The sequence below is a fragment of the Homo sapiens genome, chromosome 4, assembly GCF_000001405.40.
Source record: "Homo sapiens chromosome 4, GRCh38.p14 Primary Assembly".
In the NCBI taxonomy this organism is placed as follows: Eukaryota; Metazoa; Chordata; class Mammalia; order Primates; family Hominidae; genus Homo; species Homo sapiens.
In genome coordinates, this window is record NC_000004.12 from 14945177 (window position 1) to 14968166 (window position 22990).

The window sequence follows — 22990 nt, forward strand, 5'->3', positions numbered from 1 at the left end:
GTAAGTATGAAACTAAAAAGTTTGTATTAGTTGGATAATCAGTGTTTATCTCAAATGACCAGTAAAAGCAGCCAATTACACAAATAAAACTAGACTAAACATTTCAGAAATTTTTTAAAATAGAGAAAAGGGAATAATCACCCAGCAATTTATTACGCTGTTGGTCAGCACTAGCATTTTGTTGATATTTCCTCCTGGGAGATATTTCTTCCATATCCAATGTTATGTTCAAACTTTAAATATATGTTCTACTTTTAACATTTAGCATTGTAGCAAACCATATTTCTATACTGTTATAAACTCTTTCATAGGCAAAAAAGTCAAACTTTACTGACATACAATTGATAAAATGCTAAATCACATTTTATTGATACCTACATAGATAAAATGTAATCTTTCATTGAGAGGTTCTTACATAATTTACTTCAAGTATTCCCTATTGATGGACATAGACCATCTTCATTGTTTTTTCTACTACAAATAGTTATCCAGTAAATATCTTGTTTTAGAAATTTTAACAATATTTATGATTATTTTCTTAGGATGGGTTCTAAAAAAGTAAAAGGAGAAAAGACTCCTGGGTCAAGTAGTATAAAAATTTTAAAGGCAAAATACTTCCCAAAATACTTTCTAAAAAGAGTATACCGATTCATAATTCAACCAGCAGTGTGTGAAAGTGAGAACAGAAAATGGTAGTCTACATACTGAAATATTTACTAACTTCATAAGCAATAAATGACACATTATTTTAATTTGTATTTTTTAGAGACTGGAATAAAGAAAAACACAAATGCCTATGTTATAACCTAGCAATTCCACTCCTAAATGCATTTATACATCCATCAGTTTACTCCCAGGCATATATCCAGGAGAAATGAGTGGCGTGTTCACCATAGCTCTTTCATTCATAATAGTCAAACACTGGAAACAAACCAAATGTCCATCATCAGCAGAATGTACACATAAATTATGGTATATTCATAAAATGAAATATTACAGAAAGATTTTAAAAAGAACGAACTACTACCACATATCTCACAGGCATCACATTACATGAAAGAAGCCAGAAGCAAAGGAAAAAATACTGTTTAATTTCATTTATATGGAGTTCAAGGTCAGGTAAATGTAGCTCATAGAAATTGAAATCAGAATAGTGATGGAGGAAAGTGAAGAGTGTTGGTATTGACTGGGAAAGGGCACGGAAGTGGCTGTGAGGTATTGGAAAATTTGAATATCTCAGTCTGGGTGGTGCACAGATGAGCATATGCAGGTATAAAAACACACTGCATTTAAAATTAGTTCAATTTATTATGTGATGGTTATACCTTTATGGAAAAGTAAGAATTATAAAAAAAAAAATAACAAAGTGTGGATTTTGAAGGACACTACAAGTAGATGAACCTACTTGTGAAGGTCCTTTAAGGTAAATGGTTCATTGCTCCATTTACCTTAAAGTGAGAATTGGCTTCTGGATGATATCATGCTTTGCTGTTCGGGGAGTTTGGTAACGAACTCACTGAACTATTTACACATATGTTTGAAGATTACAGAAAACTGGACTTGCGCCCAAAAGACTTAGAAAGTAAAGAAAGTCATCTTAGCAATTACCATCTGGCAAATCTACCACTTCAATTATCATTTAAATAACTCTTTTAGAGACAAATTTTAAGCATAAAAAGAAAAAAAAGCATACTAAAATCTTCAGTAACTGGAGAATGGTACAAACACTGGGAATCAGAACCGCATTCTAAGCCAGGTTCTACAGTAAATGATTTCCGTTAACACCAGACTTCTCTGGATTTCTATCTTTATGTATTTATTTTTTTCAGTCCCTTTCGGTGCCTCCAAATCTTCCACTTGTCTAAATGTTGGTGTGCTTCGGGGCACCATCTCCCTACATAATTGCATATAATTCCATGACTTAAGTACCATATATAAGCCAATGTCTCCCAAATTTCTATCTCCACACCTGACCTCTCACCTAAACTTCATACTCATAAATGAGTCTTGCTTAACATCCTCATTAGATACTTAATAGGCATCTCCAGTTTAAGGCCTTGATTTTCCATACACACTTGAGTCTCCAAAAACTATTCCTCCTCCAATTTCTCCAACTGAGGACAAAGTTAACCATACTGCTCAAAGCCCCCTACCCAGAAATAGAAGAATCATAAAACTGGGAAAGCCCTTTCTCATTTTTGCTTTTAGGGCAAAGTCTCTCCAAACAAGAAGGAAAGCTTCATCAGTGCAAGGAATTTGTTTTTGTTAATTGCTAACATCACCAGTGACTAGAACAATGCCTGGCATGTTTTAGGAACATGACAGGAACACGTAGGATCAATGAATGAATGATATATTGAACATCATAAATTCCTAATTGGAATAATTTCTAATTATATATAAAGAACCATCTTTAGCAGTACTTTCATTTACTCATTGGACTGTTGTGAAGTTCAAATAAATTACTTATAGAAAATGGTTTTTTTGGCAATAAAATGGTAGCTTGCTCTACTAATCTCTGCAGAACAATGGTTTTCCAACTCTGACATTGTCATTTGTAGGTGAAAGTGGGAAGGTTTGTGTTTAAATCTGGACTCTGGATTTAATTGGGGGGACCTTAATTAATTGGACAACCTTGGGTTATGTGCTTAATCTCTCTGACTAGGTACTCACATCCATAAATTGAATATAAGTAAATCTGCCTCACAAGATTGTATTACAAATTACTTTAAATGATACAATATTTATCAGAGTGCCAAACAAGCAGAAGGTCCTCAAAAAATAACAACAAAAGCAAAACAAAAAAAAAATGATGACAGCAATTGCCATCCTGACTGGCATGAGATGGTATCTCATTGTGGTTTTGATTTGCATTTCTCTAATGACCAGTGATGTTGGGCTTTTTTTTTTCATATGTTTGTTGGCCGCATGAATGTCTTCTTTTGAGAACTGTCAGTTTATGTCCTTTGCCCAGTTTTCAATGGGGTTGTTTTTTCTTGTAAATTTGTTTAAGTTCCTTGTAGATTCTGGATGTGAAATCTTTGTCAGATGGATAGATTGCAAAAATTTTCTCCTACTCTGTAGGTTGCCTGTTCACTCTGATGATAGTTTCTTTCACTGTGCAGAAGCTTTTTAGTTTAATTAGATCCCATTTGTCAATTTTTGCTTTTGTTGCAATTGCTTTCGGCAATTTCGTCATGAAGTCTTTGCCCGTACATATGTCCTGAATGGTATTGCCTAGAAAAATAGCTAATGCATGCTAGGCTTAATACCTAGGTGACAGATTGATAGGTGCAGCAAACCACCATAGCACACGTTTACCTATGTAACAAACCTGCACATCCTGCACATGTACCCCAGAACTTAAGATAAAAATTAAAGAAAAATCATGACAACAACAGAAAAACAGGCACCTATATTTGTGTAAATTAGACCATTATCATGATGTTTCCTTGAGGGGCCAAGTATATTTTTTAAATAATTTTATCAATTTTTGTAAAGTAGTACATATTTACTGTAGAAATGGTGAATCATACCTACAAATAGTTTTTAAATGAAACTTACCTAGAATCCTGTCTCCCAGACAATCACTGCTGACATTTTAGCTATATATTCTTCAAATCTTTCTTTACTTCCTCCCTTCTTTCCCTCCCTCCCCCCTCCCTTCTCTCTCTCTCTCTCTCTCTCTCTCTCTCTCTCTCTCTCTCTCTCTCTCTGTCTCCCTCTCTCTGTCTCTCTCTCGCTGGAGTGCAGTGGTGAGATCATAGCTCACTGCATGCAACCTCCATCCCTTGGGCTCAAGCGATTCTCCCACCTCAGGATCACAGGCGTGCACCACAGTGCTCTGCTAATTTCTGTATTTTCTGTAGAGACAGGGTTTCGCCATGTTTCCCAGACTGGTCTCGAACTCCTGGGCTCAGATGATCCACCTGCCTCAGCCTGCCAAAGTGCCAGGACTACAGGCATGACCTACTTCTTCCAGCCCTTCAAGTCTTTTTAACATATGTATCTGCATGTATGGTGTTTTATCTGTCATTACATTAACAATGTCATCCAAATTCTTAAAGAACATGATTTCTAAAAGCTGTATTTCCTTTTTCTGAGCTCTTATTGATGTTCTGTTGAATTGATTCACATATTTACAACTATTAACAATCATAATATTATTAATAAATTTGGGGGGATTATTTCCATGGGTAAAATTCCTAAATGGAATTAATGAGTGAAATGAAAATCATTGACATTTTTGATACATTTTGCCAAATTTTCTTCCCCCCAAAATTTGCTAATTTACACTAAAATCAGCAGTGTATGACTGCCTATTTCCTTAACTCCTAATGAAAGATTGAATTATAGTGCAGAAAAAAACAGCACAAATACCATTGTGGTAAACAAACAAAAAGTCTTACTATATTTTATTTTTTGTAATATGTAATAATAAAGTTTAATATCAATGTTTTAACAATAATGACTTCATTATATGTGTTAAAATGTATACTGTTATATATTTTTTCAAATACAGATTAAAAATTCCACCACCCAGTCATAGTGTTCGTCAACTCTTTCTTCATACAATTTCAGACATCTCTCTATGGATAAGAAGATGTCAGAACAGGTATGAAGTTAGGGAGGAAAAGGGGGAAGAAGGGTGAAAGAAGACCTTATTAGAGATACAGTGTATCCTCCTTGTTTGTGGATTCCATATTTGTGAATTTGCCTACATGCTAAAATTTGTTTGTAATCCCAAAATCAATACTACTGGAGCTTTTGTGGCCATTCACAGATATGCACACAGTAGCAGAAATTTGAGTCACCTGACAAACACATTCCCAGCTAAGTCAAACCAGGTGATATTCTGCCATTTGGTTTCAGCACTCATACTGTAAATAAGTGTCCTTTGCACAGTCTATTTTGTGCCATGTAATTCCCATTATTGTGCTTCGTGTTGGTGATTTTACTGGTTACGGTGGCTTCGAAGCATAATGCTGAAGTTCCACCTAGTTTTCCAAAGTGCAAGAAGCTATGATGTGAGAAAATACAAGTGTTAGATAAGCTCAATTCAGTCATGAATTATAATGCCGTCAGTCACGGGTTCAATTTAAATGAATCAACAATATATATTAAATAAGGTGCCTTTAAACAGAAACACACATAAAACACACAATTTTGTAATGATCAGTTAATGAAGATGCTGTGATCAGAGGCTCAAAGGAACCTAACCTGAAACATAATTTCCCCCAGGAACAATGGTTGAGTATTCTCTAATTCAGTTTTCCTAGCGACTTTATAGAACACACCAACCATAAATTCTTGAATCTACTGTACTTTAGAAAACTTAGAAATATAAATTTTAATGGATTGTACTATAAATGCTACCATTAATAAAAGTATTAAATGGCATTTATTTGAATTTACAGTAAAGTATAAATCATGTAGAATTAAATTGCTAAAAACCATTCAATTTTCTTCCCAACAAGAAATATCAATTCTTAAATGACCCCTCTAGGTTGCTAAATTTAAAGACATGAATATGGTTGTGAATTTACTAAGAGGCTGGGGTCATTATGTTTTTAAACTATGCTTCAAATTTATATACCATTCATGGATTATTTGACATGAGAATATTAGAATACTTATACTTCCCAACAGACACATCTTCTCTCTACCCCATCCTGAATTTGTTAAATTATTACCATGACATTGTGAAAGCTTATGCCATTTGCATTTGAAGATGTGAACATAAATTCAATAGTTTTTCAGATTTGCTCTACTTTTAAGCTGATTTCCATACTCATCATCAGTGCTTTGACTGCAATTTCTCCATTCCTGAGTTACAACTTTGCAATTATTCTTACTATAAATGATTATTGGAATAGAACTATATTGTTATCTATAGGATGGATGGACACACCTTTGCAACACATACTACACACACACACACACACACACACACACACACACACACACCAGAAACCACCCCCAACCCAGGGACCCACTTGCAAGGTACAAATTGGAAGAGACGAAACAACTGCCATTAATGGAAAACCAAACATCATATGTTCTCACTAAGAAGAGGGAGCTAAACTATGAGGATGCAAAGGTATGACACAGTGAACTTTGGGGACTCACAGGGAAAGGGTGGGAAGAAGGTAAAGAATAAAGACTACAAATTGGGTTCAGTGTATACTGCACAGGTGATGGATGCACGAAAATCTCACAGATCACCACTAAAGAAATTACTCATGTAACCAAATACCACCTGTTCCCCAAAGACATATGGAAATAAAAAATTAAAAAACAAAAGAAACAACTGCCTTCCTGTGTGTCATTGATTCTAAGACACATTTTTTTTTCATATTTTATTCTCTTGGAAAATGAGGTGTGCTTTACAATTGATATCATGTCAGAATTTAATTGGCAGTAGTTTTTGTTTCTTAGTTAAAAAAATTAAAAAATCATATTGCATCTTACAATTGATGGCATCTTTGATTTAACAGGATACAGTGGCATAGATCTAAAGGGACAGCCCATGGAGGACATTGGGAGAGCTGTGGATGTGTGGCAGGAATGGAAGAAGTTTGGGTAACTGGGGCAGAAAATGGCAAAGGTGACTGAGTAGGAGGATTCACAGTCAGAGACTGGGAATACCTTAGTCAAAAGATTGTACAAAGGTCAACTTGTCCATTATCATCATCCTCAAATATTTGAAAGGCTGTCATGTGGAAGAAGAAAACATACTTGTTTTGTATGGCTCCTGAGGACAGAATGAGGGCCAGCAAGTCAAGCAAATGATGCTGCGTGGGGATCAAGAAACTCCGAATTTTAGAAATTTGAACTGGCCAGCAATTGGATAAACTTTCTTGTGAGAAAGTGAAATTTATAGAAAGGAGTCAAGAAGAGGCATATGGCTTTAGAGGGTGTCCCTGCCTTAAGTTTGAGGTTTAACAAAGCAACTTCTCTCCGTTTTGAGATTCCTATACTCTAAAAATTCATACCCATTTTAGCCTCCACCAGAAAATAACTTAGGTAAATAATCACAAAGAAGAATAGAGAAATGTGTAGGAAGATGTTAATTGTAGAGGAAGAAAGAGTCAATCAATACATCCATTCATAGGGAAATGTTTCAATAACCACTAAAATCTGATGAAATATAACACAGCTGTTGGAAATGACCATTATGAAGACCATGTACTGGCAAGGAAAGCTGTGTCTGAAAGTCTTGAGAAAATATGACACAAAATTACATCTTTACTGATTATATGTAAAAATATGTAATTTTCTGCATATGGAAAAAACTAGATAGAAATATGGAAGTGAAAACAGGTGATGTTTTTGACTGGCAGAATTCTGGGTTAGTCTTTTTCTCTTTCATTTTAAATTTTGACTATTATTGTGGTTAGCAATTTCAGCAACCCTTGTTGTGGGGGAAGTTAGTTTGTCTTATTTGAGGGATACCAACTGGGACATCTCTGATATGAATAACATGTGCTGTAAACTCCTGGTGCTCATTCCTGAAACACAAAAGATATTTTAAGTTGTTTGGACCTCATTACCTAATAAATAGACCTGTTGGGTGTTTATTTTAGACTAGGGGCCTCATCAAAACATTACTGAGACAATAAAGGCAATGTGAACCAAGGCAATTTTGGAAACCTTTGACATAGCCCCTACACTCAAATAACTCATCATTAGTCTCAAAAGCCAGATCATAAATAAATGAAACTAGCAAAATAGGTCATATAATCTGGATGAGTACAAAATGAGAAGGGAGAATTGGAGTGGGAGAAGAGGGGAAGACAAGTAATTTTGACTGCATGGAAGGCATCAAAAAAAGCTGCACAGGAAGCATGATTTTTAATACTGGTTGTTTTATTTCATCTAAATAATAAATGTTCTTTAAATAAACTAGATTATACTGAGAAAATGGTAATCTTCTGCCCCAGTCACCATCAAAACCCCAGTCCTGCTCCCCAGAGCCAACCTCTTTCAATTGTTGTACCTACTTCTCCTGGTAATTGTTTCCCTATCTTCAAAATAAGATGCTTACACTGCTAAATCTTGTTTTATAAATTTTCAGCCTTTTGTAGTGACTTCCTGTTATAGAACTTAAGGGGTTAGCTTTCTTATGCCATCCTCAACCCACATCCCTCAATTTAATTATATATCAAATACTGGGTGCATCATTATGACTATATAAATGTTGTTTATTACTAAACCATGTAATGTACCATAATTACTTATTCCTTCTCCTAGAACTTATTGTTTTTCCTCGGATTCTTAATACATCCTGGTTTCTGTTAATTTTTTAAATGTACTTACTATTACTTTTGTCCTAAATGCCCCAACGGATCTTTTAAAATCTATCGGTAATTTTTGCACTTGCTGGGCTACAGTTTCAAACACTCTATACGTTTCTGCCTCCTGCCCTCCCTTCTTCGACCCACCCATCCTGCACCCTCTCTCCCACGGCCTACAGTTCTTCTGCTCCTATTGTGGACCCTTTGATCTCCGGGCCAGCTACCTGGCTTTCATGCTAAGCCTTCTTTTCTTCACCCTCCTCCACCCCAGGCATTACATGGCCTGGTTTTTTAATACCATGTCTTTCTCTTCCTTGATTGACTCCCTCATTTTATAAAGAACATTCTTCATTTGCTTCTTAAGAAAAGATGTGTAGTGGGCAAAACGTTTGAGCCTTTCATGTCAGAAAATGTCTGTATACTACTGTGTACCCTCAATCGATAATTTGGCTTAGTATAGAATAGTAGATTGAAAATAATTATCCCTCCAAGTTTTGAAAATATTTCTCTTTTGTTCTAGCATTCAGTGTTGCTGAATGCTAGAACATTCAGAAGCCATTCTGAATTTCCTCTCTCTCTCTCTCTCTCCCTCCCTCCCTCCCTCCCTCCCTCTTTCATCTCAAGTAACTCTTCTAGGGTCTTCTTGTGTATAGTGTGCTGAGTAATTAGGGAACCCGTCAGTGTAGAAGCTCACGTATTTCAGCTGTAAGAGATATTCCTACATTATTCATTTGATTATCTTATCCTTTCCTTTTTCTCTATCTTCTCTTTCTGAAACTCCTAATGTTTAGAGGTGAAGCTTCCTAGATTGAGATTCTAATTTTCTTTCCTTCCTTCTTATTCATCATTATTCCTCTTGTTTTTCAACAAAGTTATTTTCCAAAATTGTATGCACTTTTAAATTTATTTTCTGGGATATGAAATAAAAATATTTTCCCCAAGAGCTCTTTATTGCTCTGATGTTTCTTTTTCCCAAGCTTCCTGTTGTTATTCTAAAGATGCAACAAATTTTCTTGTATTTCTGAAGTTATTAGTGGCAGCTTTTTGAAAATTTTCCTTTGTTCCCAACATTGTCTCTATTTCACTGAATTCCTTTTCCTTGTTGTTTTGTTGATTTGTTTCTTTCATTGGCTGGTTGATATTGTGCGTGTTTTCAGCTCTTTCATGTGGAAAGCCTTCCTCAAAATATCCAGTTATCCTGGATTGTCCGCTTGTTTTTTCAGAGTGAAGCATCAAGTGTTTCATCTGAAGCACTGTAAGCATGGGCAGATACTTAATTGCTGGGTTTTACTCGGGGTAATGAAAGGGCAAGCCATCCTTCCTGATGGAGAGCTCCACATGTCTGTGTCTAAAAATCTCTCTGGGCCCACTTCATTTCTACACAAAATGACCTTCCAATCTGCTGCTGTAGAAGGTGAAGAATAGGACATATGTCTGGCTGCTGGCCTTCTAAAGCAATGGGGGAAGGCTGCTGAGGGTCTCCGAATTTGTTGTATACGTTTTCTTTAATCCCATGCCACACTACCTTGCTCTCCCCAGATGTTGGTGTCCCTGAGACCACACTCCCACTAGTTTATTCTCCAAAGAATGATTTTTCTCCAGCATGATAGTAAAGGCAAGGATGTAACATCTGAAGCTGGGTAATTCAGAAAGAAAAGAGGTTTATTTGTCTCATCATTCTGCAGACTTCACAAGCAAAGTAACAGCATCTGCTTAGCTTCTGGTTGGCAGCCTCAGGAAGCTTACAATCATAGCAAAATGTGAAAAGGAGCCAGTGTGTCTCATGGCAAGAGAAGGAACAAAACATATCAGAGGTGGTTTGTTTAAGTGAGAACAACAATAACAAAGCAACAAAAATTCAGACTATCTTAAATAATAAGGAAATACATTTGGCTCAGGAAAAAAGAAACCTAGAAACCAGCTAGACTTGAGGATTTATTAACCTGAAGACTATAACTCAGTTTCTCCATAGTTTTTTGATTGACCCTTACTCAGTGTATTTACTTCCCTCTGACATCCAGTGGTTTGTTTTTCAGTTATAGGAAATGTCTGACTTAGAACCCTAAGAATTTCTCCCTCTTGTGTCTCTGGCCTGAGCTTGATCGATTCATGAATGGAGTCCAGGGGCCTAGCAAGTGCTAACTGTCTTAGACCTGGATTCCTGAATCGCTATGCCAGTTTTGGATGAATTAGCTCCAAACCACTTGCATGAACCTCCAGAGCTGAAGATGGAGGCAGGGTTCCTGAAATCAAGGGTGACAGAAGGAGATGCATCATTAAATGAACACTGGGATAGTTTACTTAGGGCAAATACAATAATGGGTATATAAACAGCAATATCCACTGCACTCACAATAAAATAAAAAATAATACAAACGTTCTGATGCAATGTAATAGTCTTATAGTGTTATTTTATAGTCTATATAGCTCTATAGACTATATAATAACACATAGTACTGCTATATTATAAATAACAAGATAAAGCTGAAGAGATAATAAAGGTAAAATGGTGAGAGGAGAACAATGGGAAAATTACTAGATAGACTCTGAACAGTAAAAGCCCCAACAAATTGATTAAAAATAAAATGGTAGGCTGGGTGCGGTGTCTCACGCCTGCAATCCCAGCACTTTGGGAGGCTGAGGTGGGTGGATCACGAAGTCAGGAGATCAAGACCATCCTGGCTAACATGGTGAAACCCCATCTGTACTAAATATACAAAAAAATTAGCCAGGCATGGTGGCGGGCACCTGTGGTCCCAGCTACTCGGGGGGCTGAGGCAGAAGAATGGCATGAACCCGAGAGGCAGAGCTTGCAGTGAGCAGAGATCACGCCACTGGACTCCAGCCTGGATGACAGAGCAAGACTCCATCTCTAAATAAATAAATAAATAAATAAACAAACAAACAAACAGTAATTTTCTTTTGAGCCTCCTGGCAGCCAAAGCAAAGAAAGAAGAATGATCAGTTAAAGGGGCCACATTATACTTTGGAGGAATAAAGATATTTCTGATCCAGAGTCCTCAGATAAATCATTTTTCCCACAAGTCTTCCTAAAGGGGTCACTGCATGACAATGGAACTGTCAGTAGCATCCCTATGGTGTATGTAACGATGAATTTGAAAACATCTATCAACACTACCACAGATTTAATTTAGTTGCTCTGATATATTTGGTCCAAACCAAGACAATTCTCACATGCTCTGGATTAATCTAAGGATAAAATCTGGGGTGATAAGAGCCATGTCTCTCAAACTGGGGTAGAATTAGAACTACTGGGGACACAACAGGAGGTAAAAGTAGTACATATTCCTTGTGGTAGGAAGGAAATCATTTTGGTTTGGCCTTTTTCTTGATAGAAATAGATTTAAAAGATTACTTTTATATTTAAACCAACATAAATATATTACAGAGTAGAATATAAAAAGCATAAATGCTATGAAAAAGAGAGCATAAAACCTCAATGAAAGGATATCCCAGTTGTGTGGACAGCCTTGAGCTATATACCCAGTCCCCCAGAGGCGTCATCTCATGGTCTTCTACCTTTCAGGTTTGTTCAGGGGAAAGGTTTCAAGACACTTCCCTCTACACTTTCTTCATCTGGCCAACTCCTAGTCATCTCTGATAGCTCCTTGTACTCCTTTGATCATGCCACTCTGTACATTTTGTTGTAGTTATTTGTTTAAAATCTTCCTCCCTTAATAGAATGGCAAGAAATTGGCTACCTTGTCCTCCAGTTCCTGGTGCAGTGTCTGTTTTGGTACAAGAGGCCAATAAATTAATAAGTTAATGAACTAAAGACGTCTGATTGTTATGGGCCGAATTGTTTCCCCTCAAAATTAATATGTTGAAGTCCTAACTCCAGCACTTCAGAATGTGACCTTATGTGGAGTAGGGCCTTTAAAAAAGTAATCAAGCTAAAACAAGGTTATACAGGTGGCCTCAATAAAATATGACTGGTTTCCTTATAAGAAGTGGAGATTTGGACACAGAGACATGCAGAGAAGAAAGATCATATGAAGACATGACCAAGAAGAGAGCCTTGGAATAGACCTTCCCTCACAACCTTCAGAAGGAACCAGCTCTGCCCACACCTTGATCTCAGACTTTCAACCTCCAGAACTGCAAGACCATACATTTCTGTTGTTTCAGTTGCTCACTCTGTGGTACTTTGTTACACAACCCTAGAAAACTAATACACTGATCTTCAAATCCTTCAGACGGCCCTACCTCCCACGAATATAAATGTGAGCCTCTTTCCTTGCTCTCTTGCTCTCCATGCAATGGAATACATACTTCTTTCTCCACAGAAGGAGGAAGGAGGCCCTCAAATCCTTTACAATTTTAAGGCATTTTTTCCTTTAATATTATTATCCAGCAGCCTTCTACAATAGGCAGAAAAATCATGAAGATAGTTTGACTGGAGAGATGACAAATAAGTGCCATTTTAGTTTATAAGGAGAATTAAATTTTTGTGAACTAAACATTCTAATTGGTATCTTAAAATTTTTCATTAAAAAACAATCCTGGTTCATTGAGTTTACTTAGAAACTTTGGCTGTAGTTTACACTTAGAACAAATGGCTTTAATTTCATTATACACTACCAAATCAACCAAGTCATTGTACACGTAAACTTAACCTTCATGTCTTGCAAATATGTGTGTGTGTATTTTTTTCCTGGTGCTTTACTCTAATTTTTATTGTTTAAATTTTTTTCTTTATTGTTTCTCAGTAACTGAGTGTTCCCTAAACCAGACAGAGAAAAAAAAAGGAAAGACATTCTCAATCATGGGACTGAGGCTGTTAGATCCCAGAAATTGTTTTCCAAAGAGTAAATCAGAGTACTTTTCCACTTGAATCACAGTACTTTTCCAGGACTAGCTATAGGATGATCTTGGTACAAATTTATTTGTCGTGACAGAATAGAGAAAATTTAGTGCTATTATTTTCCACAAACCCTTTTGAACACTTTTGCAAGAATATCAAAATGCCAGGTGAACATTGTTTCACTTAACATGACCCAGTGTTAATAATTAAACAGGGCCAAGCATTCTGTAAATATTTAAAGCCCTACTAATATACACTTGGCATCATCTATGAAAAATTCGGGTACCTGCCACACATTTGGAATTCAGGTGTGAATTATAAAGTGCTCAACAAATTTAAAATAACAGAAGGCAAGCCACGGTCACTGCAGGCAGGAGCACTAAGGGTAAGGAGAAGGGCTAATTGACGTCCTAACAACAAATGAGGAAGCAGGAAACCCATAAAAACTGGTCACAAGCATATAAAACCCCAGCATTCATTTTTTATAGAAGCACTGAATATTAAGTGTGCCACAGGCCCCAAGACATTAATGTAATACAACCCAACAGAAGGAGACAAAGTCGCTGCAATGCTCCCTGGAAAGGCAAAGGGATCAGCAACCAGGCATTTGGAAGGCCCCCTGATTAGCCAGGCCACTTGGAAAAGTCATTTAATCTCTCAAAGCTGCTCTTTATCTACAAATAAAAATAATAATTCTGTCATTTCCTACTCTACAGGGTCATGGTGGGGATCAAAAGTAGAAAAGCTGCTGCATAGAATCACTGACTGGATTTCACACCTTGTTCCCTCCTCTCTCTTTTCTTGGCTTCCAGCACCCCACACACCGTCCTGTTTCCCTCTAATGCATTGGCTATTCCTGCTCATACTGCTATGCAGGTTCACTCTTTGATCCCCAAATTTTGGAGTACCCTAGACTTCAGTCCTTATCCTTTTTATCTGGTCTATCTGTAGTCTCTCTTTAGGTAATCTCAAGGTCCTATGTATGATTCCTTTTGCTGATCATTCCCACATTTTTATCTCCAATTTTAATCTTCCTTCTGAATTTCAGACTTACATATGTAACTGTAAACTTGACGTCTTCACTTGATGCCCGATAGGCAGCTCAAACGTTTTATGGCCAAAATAGGCCTATTGATTCTCCACAATCCAACCTCTTATTTTCATCAATCTCATCCTCTCAATTGCTCAAGCCAAAAAAAAAATCTAGGAGTTATCTTAGTTCTTCTCTGTCCTTCATCTCTCACATCCTATGCATCAGCAAGGACTGTCTCTGAAACAGATCTCAAATCTATCCATTTCTCTTCACCACTACTACCATTGCCCTTGTCCAAACCACCATCTTTGCTCATCTGAATGTCCACAGATGACTCTCAACTGGTCCTCATTTTCCTATTAGCCTAGGCAAACCTTTTTTTAACATTTATTATAGCCTTTATACAAACTTAATTTAGTGACATTGTATAAATAAATAATAAATATGTAAAAGATAGTGTTTTTAATTTAAAAATCCACCAAACAATTAAACATACATGTGTATGTAAAAAAATTAAAAATCAATAAAGGCCTAGAAGGATACACACAAAATCTATGATACATTTAACTTCTTCAAAAAAAAAAATTAGGATAAGGATGAAGGACAAAATGGGCTTGACTTTAACTCATAACATTCCCTTCTTTTAAAAAGCATAAGAACTTGGAGCAAACATGTCAGTATGTTAAATGTTGATTCTTGGTCAGATATTTTGATACTCTTCTCTGTAAACTTTTTCTGATTTTTTTCAAAATAAAAAAAGTAAACACAGAAAGGAGAAGATAGAAAACATAAAAAGGACAAGGGTAAAAGGAGGATAGAAAAAGTGTAAAAGGATAATGTCCCTGAGCTAAAAAAAAATGCGTTAAAACTTTAAATATAAAATGTATAAATATATATTTTATATATATACGTATATATACATATACGTATATATATACACATATATACATATAAATACATATATATAAATTTATATGTGTATATATACATATAAATACATATATAAAATGTATAAAAATATAAAATATAAAATAAATATTTAATTTTTAAATAAAAATATAAATATTCTCCACATGTACAGGTGGATAAGTATTTCAATTTTTTGAAAGAGGAACAAAAAGTCTTGCTCTATTTCTAACTGAAATCTTTCTATGTGTCTCCGCACTGTATAAAATCTTGAAAGTATAAATCAAATCATATAATCTATTTAGAGTCTTCCAATGGTGCAACACATTTAGAATCAAATTCAAATTCTTTACCATAATACACAAAGTCCCACCAAATCTGACCTCTAACCATCTCTCCAACTTCCTCTGGCCCCACCATCATCTAGGGGCCAGCCATACCACCTGTCTGTCAATCACAAGTTCTTCCTCACGTGAAGCCCTTCACAGTGGCACCTCATCTACCTGGATTGCACTTCTCCCAGAACTGAATTTGACTGGAAACTTCTTGTCATACGAGTCTTTTCAAATAAGACTGCATCAAGGAGACTTCTCTTGACCAACTGATCTAAAGAAGCCCCCTAACACTCTCAATTATATCACCCCATTATAATTCTCTTCATAACACTGACCACCATCTGATATTTTACCGTGTGTTTATTTATTGGTATTTCTTCATGCATCTTCTTCATCCCCCATCCTTCTCCCAGAACATAAACTCTGTGATTGCAGAGGCTATGTTATATCCTCAGGACCAAGAACTATCATGATCCTCTATAAAGGGTATATTTGTCTCTAGTGCAGCATAACAAATTACCATAATCTTAGTGGCTCCAAACAGCAACCATTTATTAGTCCTGGTCCTTTAGGTCAGAAGTCCATTCACAGCTTGGCTAGGGTCTATGATCTGATGAGAGCACTAAAGGCTGAAATCAAGGTGTTGACTAGGCTAAGTTCTTATCTGGCGGCTCTGGAAAAGAATCTGCTTCCAAGCTCATTCAGAGTATTAGCAAAATCCAGCTTCATTATACTATAAAACTAAGATCTCCATTTCCTTACTGACTGCCAGCCAAGGGTTCCTAGAGGCCACCCACACTCCATATCATCTGGGCCCCTCCATCTTCAGGCTGGCAATTGTGTGGAAAAACCTTCTTATGCTTTCCAATCTGACTTCCTCTTCTATTAACAGCTGGAAAACTCTGTTTTCAAGGACTCTTATGACTCAACAGTGCCCACTTGGATAACTTCCCTATTTTAATGTCAATTGTGCCATATAAAAAAATCCAATCACAAGAGCAAAGTCCACTGTATTAGTCAGGGTTCTCTAGAGGGACAGAACTAATAGGATAGATGTATTTATTTTATTTTATTTTATTTTATTTTATTTTATTTTATTTTACTTTATTTTGAGATGGAGTCTCACTTCTTTGCCCAAGCTGAGTGTAATGGTGCGATCTTGGCTTACTGAAACCTCCGCCTCCCGGGTTCAAGCAATTCTCCTGCCCCAGCCTCCCAAGTAGCTAGGATTGCAGGCATGTGCCAGAATACAGAGCTAATTTTTGGATTTTTAGTAGAGACGGTGTTTCACCATGTTGGCCAGGCTGGTCTCGAACTCTTGACCTCAAGTGATCTGCCTGCCACGGTTTCCCAAAGTACTGGGATTACAGGCATGAGCCACCACACCTGATAGGATAGATGTATTTAAAAAGGAGAGTTTATTCAGGAGTATTAACTTACACAGTCACAAGGTCCCACAATAAGCCATCTTCAAGCTGAGGAGCAAAAAAGTCAGTCCGAGTCCCAAAGCTGAAGAACTTGGGACTCTGATGTTCGAGGGCAGGAAACATCCAGCACAGGAGAAAGAGGTAGGCAGGGAGGCTAAGCCAGTCTGGTCTCTCATGTTCTTCTGCTTGCTTTTATTCTGATCATACTGGCAGCTGATTAGATAGTGCCCACACAGATTGAGAGTGGGTCTGCCTTTCCCAGTCCACTGACTCAAATGTTAATCTCCTTGGGCAACACCCTCACAGACACACTCAGGATCAATACTTTGCATCCTTCAATCCAATCAAGTTGACACTCAGTATTAACCATTACAATCCACCATATTCATTGTCCTGGGGATTATGAAAAATATGTGCAACAGTAAGCAGGAAATCTTAGGGCTTGTTTTAGAATGGCCTTTATCTATCTGCCTAAAAGAGAAGGTATTTTAGGCCTGGCGCAGTGGCTCACACCTGTAATCCCAGCACTTTGGGAGGCTGAGGTGGGTGGATCACCTGAGGCCAGGAGTTCGTGACCAGCCTGGCCAACATGGTGAAACCCCGCCTCTACTAAAAAAAATACAAAAATTAGCCAGGCGTGGTAGCACGCACCTGTAATCCCAGCTACTCAGGAGGCTGAGGCAGGAGAATTGCTTGAAACCGGGAGGCGGAGGTTGCAGTGAGCCGAGATGGCGCCACTGCACTCCAGCCTGGGTGACAGAGAGACTGTCTTAAAAAAAAAAGAAAAAGAAAAAGAGAGAGAGAGGGTATTTTATAAACATTGGTGAATGAAAAAAGAATGAGTAACAAAGTAGTTGTCTAAAATCACACATAATCTCACAAATGTTGGCATTAAAGTAATTTAATTCATAAAGAAGTCCTGTGACATCATGAAAAGCTTAAAGTAGGTCTGATTTGCCATGGTTAAGAAGAAAGTCCACAGAAGCAAGAATAGTTGGGAGTGAGGGGGTAGCTCAGAAATATAAACCCTGTTAGCTAATGCAGGCGGTTTAAAATAACAACAACACAGACTAATTGGTAAGGTTTGGTTTTCATTTGACTCAGCTACTTACGAGCTCTGACGTTGAGCAATTCATTTATATATCTAGTTCAGATTTCTTACTTCTTTTTTTTTTTTTTTTGAGACGGAGTCTCGCTCTGTCACCCGGGCTGGAGTGCAGTGGCGTGATCTCCACTCACTGCAAGCTCCGCCTCCCTGGTTCACACCATTCTCCTGCCTCAGCCTCCCGAGTAGCTGGGACTACAGGCGCCCGCCACTACGCCCGGCTAATTTTTTGTATTTTTAATAGAGACGGGGTTTCATCGTGTTAGCCAGGATGGTCTCGATCTCCTGACCTCGTGATCCGGCCGACTCGGCTTCCCAAAGTGCTGGGATTACAGGTGTGAGCCACCGCGCCCGGCCCGGATTTCTTCCTTCTTAAATGGGCAACCACTCCACAGGTGGTTGTGTGATTTAAATTATTGGATGCATGTTCATTATCTACTACATTATCCAGAGCATCGTAACTACTTGAAAATTGTCATCCATCACTCCGCAAAAATCAGTTATTTTGAATGACAATTCCCAGGTTTGCTTCACCCAGGCAGTCTTTCAGTGGATTTTTGCAGGGTAAGAGTGAAGAGGGTTGTGGTATATTCTAATGTCAGAAAATTAGTCAGAAATATATATTTCTGAATTGAAACTTATTAAATTAAATAATTCTTGGTGTATTACTTAAGAGCTATATTTCTTTCATTCTAAAAGAAAATAGCCTTATTGGGTTCCACAGAAAATATATATATTCTTAGAATTTGAATTGCCTGCTTTACTGACCATGAATATGGTGGATTCTGCTCTTGTGATTAGATTTTTTTATATGGCACAGTTGACCTTAAAATATGGAAATTATCCAAGTGGGTCCTGTTGAGTCACATGAGTCCTCTGAAAATAGAGTTTTCCAGCTGGTAATAGAAGAGAAATATATATTTCTGACTAATTTTCCAACATTGGAACATACCACCGACCCTTTTCACTCTTACCCCACAAAAATCCACTAAAAGACTTTGCCTGGATGAAGCAAATCTGGGAATTGTCATTTGAAATAGCTGATATATATATTTTTTTAATATATATATAATATAGATGTAATAATTATATATTTATAATATATATAATTAGTATCTATAATCATATAATATGTAATATATGATTATAGATATTAATTATATAATATATGGTCATATATATATATGTATATATATAATATCAATATTCTTCTTGCAAATGACCTGGACAACTTTCTGAACCTCAATTTGTAGGAAGTTGCCATACTGAAGACTAACAAATTCAGTGTAGTCAGCTTTCCTTTCACTGCTGGAAAGAAATTCTTATTTATTTAGCTAAGTATCATGCAAAGAAATTGAAGATAGTTTAATGAACATATTTTATCAAAAATACCTATCTTTAAATACTGCAATCTCAGCACAGCAAAGAGCTCCTAACCAAAGAGGCAACAGTGCAGTGGAAGTAAATCCCAGCTCTGCCACTTAATAGCTCTTTGGCACTGGACAAGTTAACATAATTTCTCTGTGCTTCAATGTTCTCATCTGCAAAATGGAAACAGTAGTTAATCATATGGCTGATGTAAACACCAAATAATTCAGTATAAATAAAATATTTAGAACATTGTCTGGCATAGAGTAAATGCCATAAATATTTACTGACTAAAATTAGGACTTTAAGGAACATAGAACCTGGCTGAGGGAACAAGGTACCTGCATCTCATGCTCATTCAGTGAACACTCCTAATTCGTAGATGGCACTATTTAAGTTGCTGTTTTCTCCACCACCACCACCACCCCATCTTTTTTTTTCAGATGAGCTGCTGTATCAATTCAGATTTTCTGAGAGGTAGGCACCAAAAAGGGATTAGATAAACAAGAGATTTGATGGGGAAAACACATATGAAAGATAAAGAAAAAGGGAGCAGGAGTGATGAGGAAGAGCTTTCAGATCATAACACAGATTGGATACTTATGCAAGGAGAGGGAGAAAGAAGGATTGGCCAGGAAAAGCTCAGACTACAGTGAAGTTCTAAGAAAATCTCAGCCAAACCAATAAGGAGTCAACAAGCAAACACAACACTGCCTGTTAGTGGAATCCCACATTGGGTAGAGAAGGAATGGACCCAGTGCCCCTGCCATACCCAGATGTTGGCTAGAAGAGTCTAGATGACGCACAGCATTGGCAGTTTCAAATGTGAAAGTCTAACAGCTGCCAACAGCTGTGCTTCCCACAAAAGGTCCTCTTAAAAGGGAATCTGAGTGGCACACTTCTATGGTTACTACAGCCCCTGTGATTGCATTTATGCAGGTGAAATGCACACATAACATGATGTCCACTGACCTTTTTTGTTAGGCCATCATTTAAACACCATTTCTGGGAGGTGGGCACCTGGCAGGTACCACTGAACACCCTAATGTCTTTGGGGTATCAGCCAGGAGGAAGCAGCTGAGGCTACTGATGTCTCTCTGATGGGATCTACCTATGGGGAAGACTGATGCATTACTGGTTAAATGTATCTATGGACTGATGACTTGAACATTTCCCAAGTTTGGCATTTGCTGATCATGGAGTCCAGTACTGAGCAGCCTTCTTTTACATGAAGGCCAATACAGGAATAATATGTATGGATACATACATGTACACATAGGGGTGTATGTGTGTGTGTATTACTTAGAGGCTATATTTCTTTCATTCAAAAAGAAAATAGACTTATTGGGTTTCATAGGAAATATATACATCCTTGGAACTTAAATTGCCTGCTTTATTGAGTAGAAGAATGCCATTAAGAAAGTTGGCACTGCTTTTAAGCCACCAAAATGATTACATCTAGAATTATTTGAAAAACATCAAGAATAAGGCAACTTTCTAAGTTTCTCATCCTGAAATTAGATCACAGGCCACATTTCCAAGCTCAACAGCCCCAGCTGGCTCTCTGGCCTGTGTGTGGACCACATCTCCATAGTATACCTGGTGCTATGAGGAGACCAGGGGCACAGAACAAAAAGACTAAGTGCCACGGCTTGGGAGGACACTGCCTAGTGCACTAAGCTGACAAGGACAAAAGTGCTATAGAGGTGTGTGAAGGCACTAGGCAAATTCAGAGGAGTGAGCCTCAACTCATCGCTATGGGAAGAATAGTGAATAGCTGGGAACTCCAGGTAGGAAGCTGTGCCTTAACGGTGCTGCTGCACACACCTGACATCCAGCTTTTTCCTCATCCTATTCCACATCTTTGCTTCTAGTTTAACCTTGACTCTCCAAGCGCAGATGAGCTTAGTGTGACCCTTGCCACCCCAGTCCCTATCATTTATTTATTCACCAATTTCTTAATCAAGGACATATTGAATACAAAGTGCATTTAGACTACAGTTTGTACTGATCCAAGGTCCCATATACAATATATATCTATATTGTTATATTAATTTGCAGTATTAACTCAAATCACTTAGGGAATAAATAAAATTCCAGCAGTTATAAATTAGCCAGTTTCTCATCTATATTTTGCACAGATGGCATGAAAATTTGAAGGATTGTATTAGTCCATTTTCACACTGCTGATAAATACATACCCAAGACTGGGCAATTTGGGGGAGGCCTCACAATCATGGCAGAAGTTGAGGAGGACCACGTCACATCTTATATGGATGGCGGCAGGCAAAGAGAGAGCTTGTGCAGGGAGACTCCTGTTTTTAAAACCATCAGGTCTCATGAGATCCATTCACTGTAATGAGAACAGCACGGGAAAGACCCGGCCCAATGACTCAATTATCTCCCACTGGGTCCCTCGCACAACATGTGGGAATTATGGAAGCTACTAGATGAGATTTGGGTGAGGACACAGAACCTAACTATATCAACGATTATGAGGTTTGCTGCCAGAATATCAGCACTTACTATGTGTGACCTGAACAAATTTCTGAAACTCATTTTCCTTGCCATAATCTGGAAAATAGAGATAACAATACTTATCTTGCAAAGTACGCATTACATTTCATATGAAAAGAGCAAAGTACAGTGATTGGAATAACATAAAATGAAAGGTAGAAAATAAACTAAGATGTGTAAAAAGGAAATTTAGATTTTTGAAAATAATTTAGAAGTGGGACAAATGCTCCTAAACAAGAAAAAAATCAGGAATCCTAAAGAAAAAGTATAATATATTTGGATACATAAAATAACCTCTATGTGATAAAATACAGCATAAACAAACACAACTGGGCATATCATAGGCCAAGAAAATATAGTCGCCATGAATATAATGAAGATTAATAGCGATTTTTCAAAAGTTTCTGCAAATTAATAAGAAAAATACAACCCCAGAGAAAAATGACGAAATATTATATATCAGCAATTCACAGAATTATAAATAGCCAATAAAGACCGGAAAACATTCTCAGCGTAGCTGCTTCTTAAGTAACACAAATTAAAACAAATAAGTGATTCCATTGTTTTTACTCACCATATGAACACAACAATGTAAATATTTATAACATCCCTTATAGGTAAATATATGGGCAAATGGATGCTTTCATATACTTTTTAAGAGAACATTAAGTCAAGGTGCCTGCTGGTGTAGTAAGCTTCACTATTATGATGCTTGGTTACAAAAAATGGGGGAAAGATAATTTGAACCAATTTAAGTTAAAAAGAAGAAAATTATTACTGTTTACTACTATCATCATAAAGAGATTGAGATATTTCCTGAATCTTAACATTGCTCATGTAGTTTGACTGCAGGAGCACGGAGAACCAGGCACTGAAATTCCATTTGGACTTATCTTGGGGGATAAGTCCATCATCTCTGGGTATGGGCTTCATACTTCTCTCTCTTGGTGCCAACTAACTTTGTCCTTTTGGTGAAAAACAGCAACCAACAAATTCTGAGTTTTAAGTCCTTAATAGCTTCAACCATCAGAAAATTATTGATTCAAGTCACGTTTCCCATGCCCAAAAATTCCAAGAAAGTCAGTCTCTGGCCCTGACTAGATCCAATGAACATTCCTGGACCAATAATTGATGACCTCAGAGATGAGGTTCTATGATTAGCCCAGCTTGATTCTGG

At 37.2% G+C, this 22990-nt stretch overlaps 2 long non-coding RNA genes across 3 annotated transcripts in view; both read right to left on the reverse strand.

Annotated features, from left to right (window-relative positions):
• CPEB2-DT (CPEB2 divergent transcript) overlaps nucleotides 1–22990 on the reverse strand; it is a 92085-nt gene that overhangs the window by 35216 nt on the left and 33879 nt on the right. The gene's annotated exons all lie outside the window — the stretch shown is intronic.
• LOC105374498 (uncharacterized) lies at nucleotides 11234–21534 on the reverse strand. 2 transcript variants are annotated; one of them, XR_001741391.1, is made up of 3 exons: nucleotides 21498–21534; nucleotides 19321–19469; nucleotides 11234–12046 (listed from the first exon to the last, which is right to left on the reverse strand). It is a non-coding gene; the product is annotated as an uncharacterized LOC105374498 (long non-coding RNA). The 2 variants fall into 2 exon arrangements; XR_001741390.1 differs by having other exon boundaries at nucleotides 19321–19766; nucleotides 21498–21532.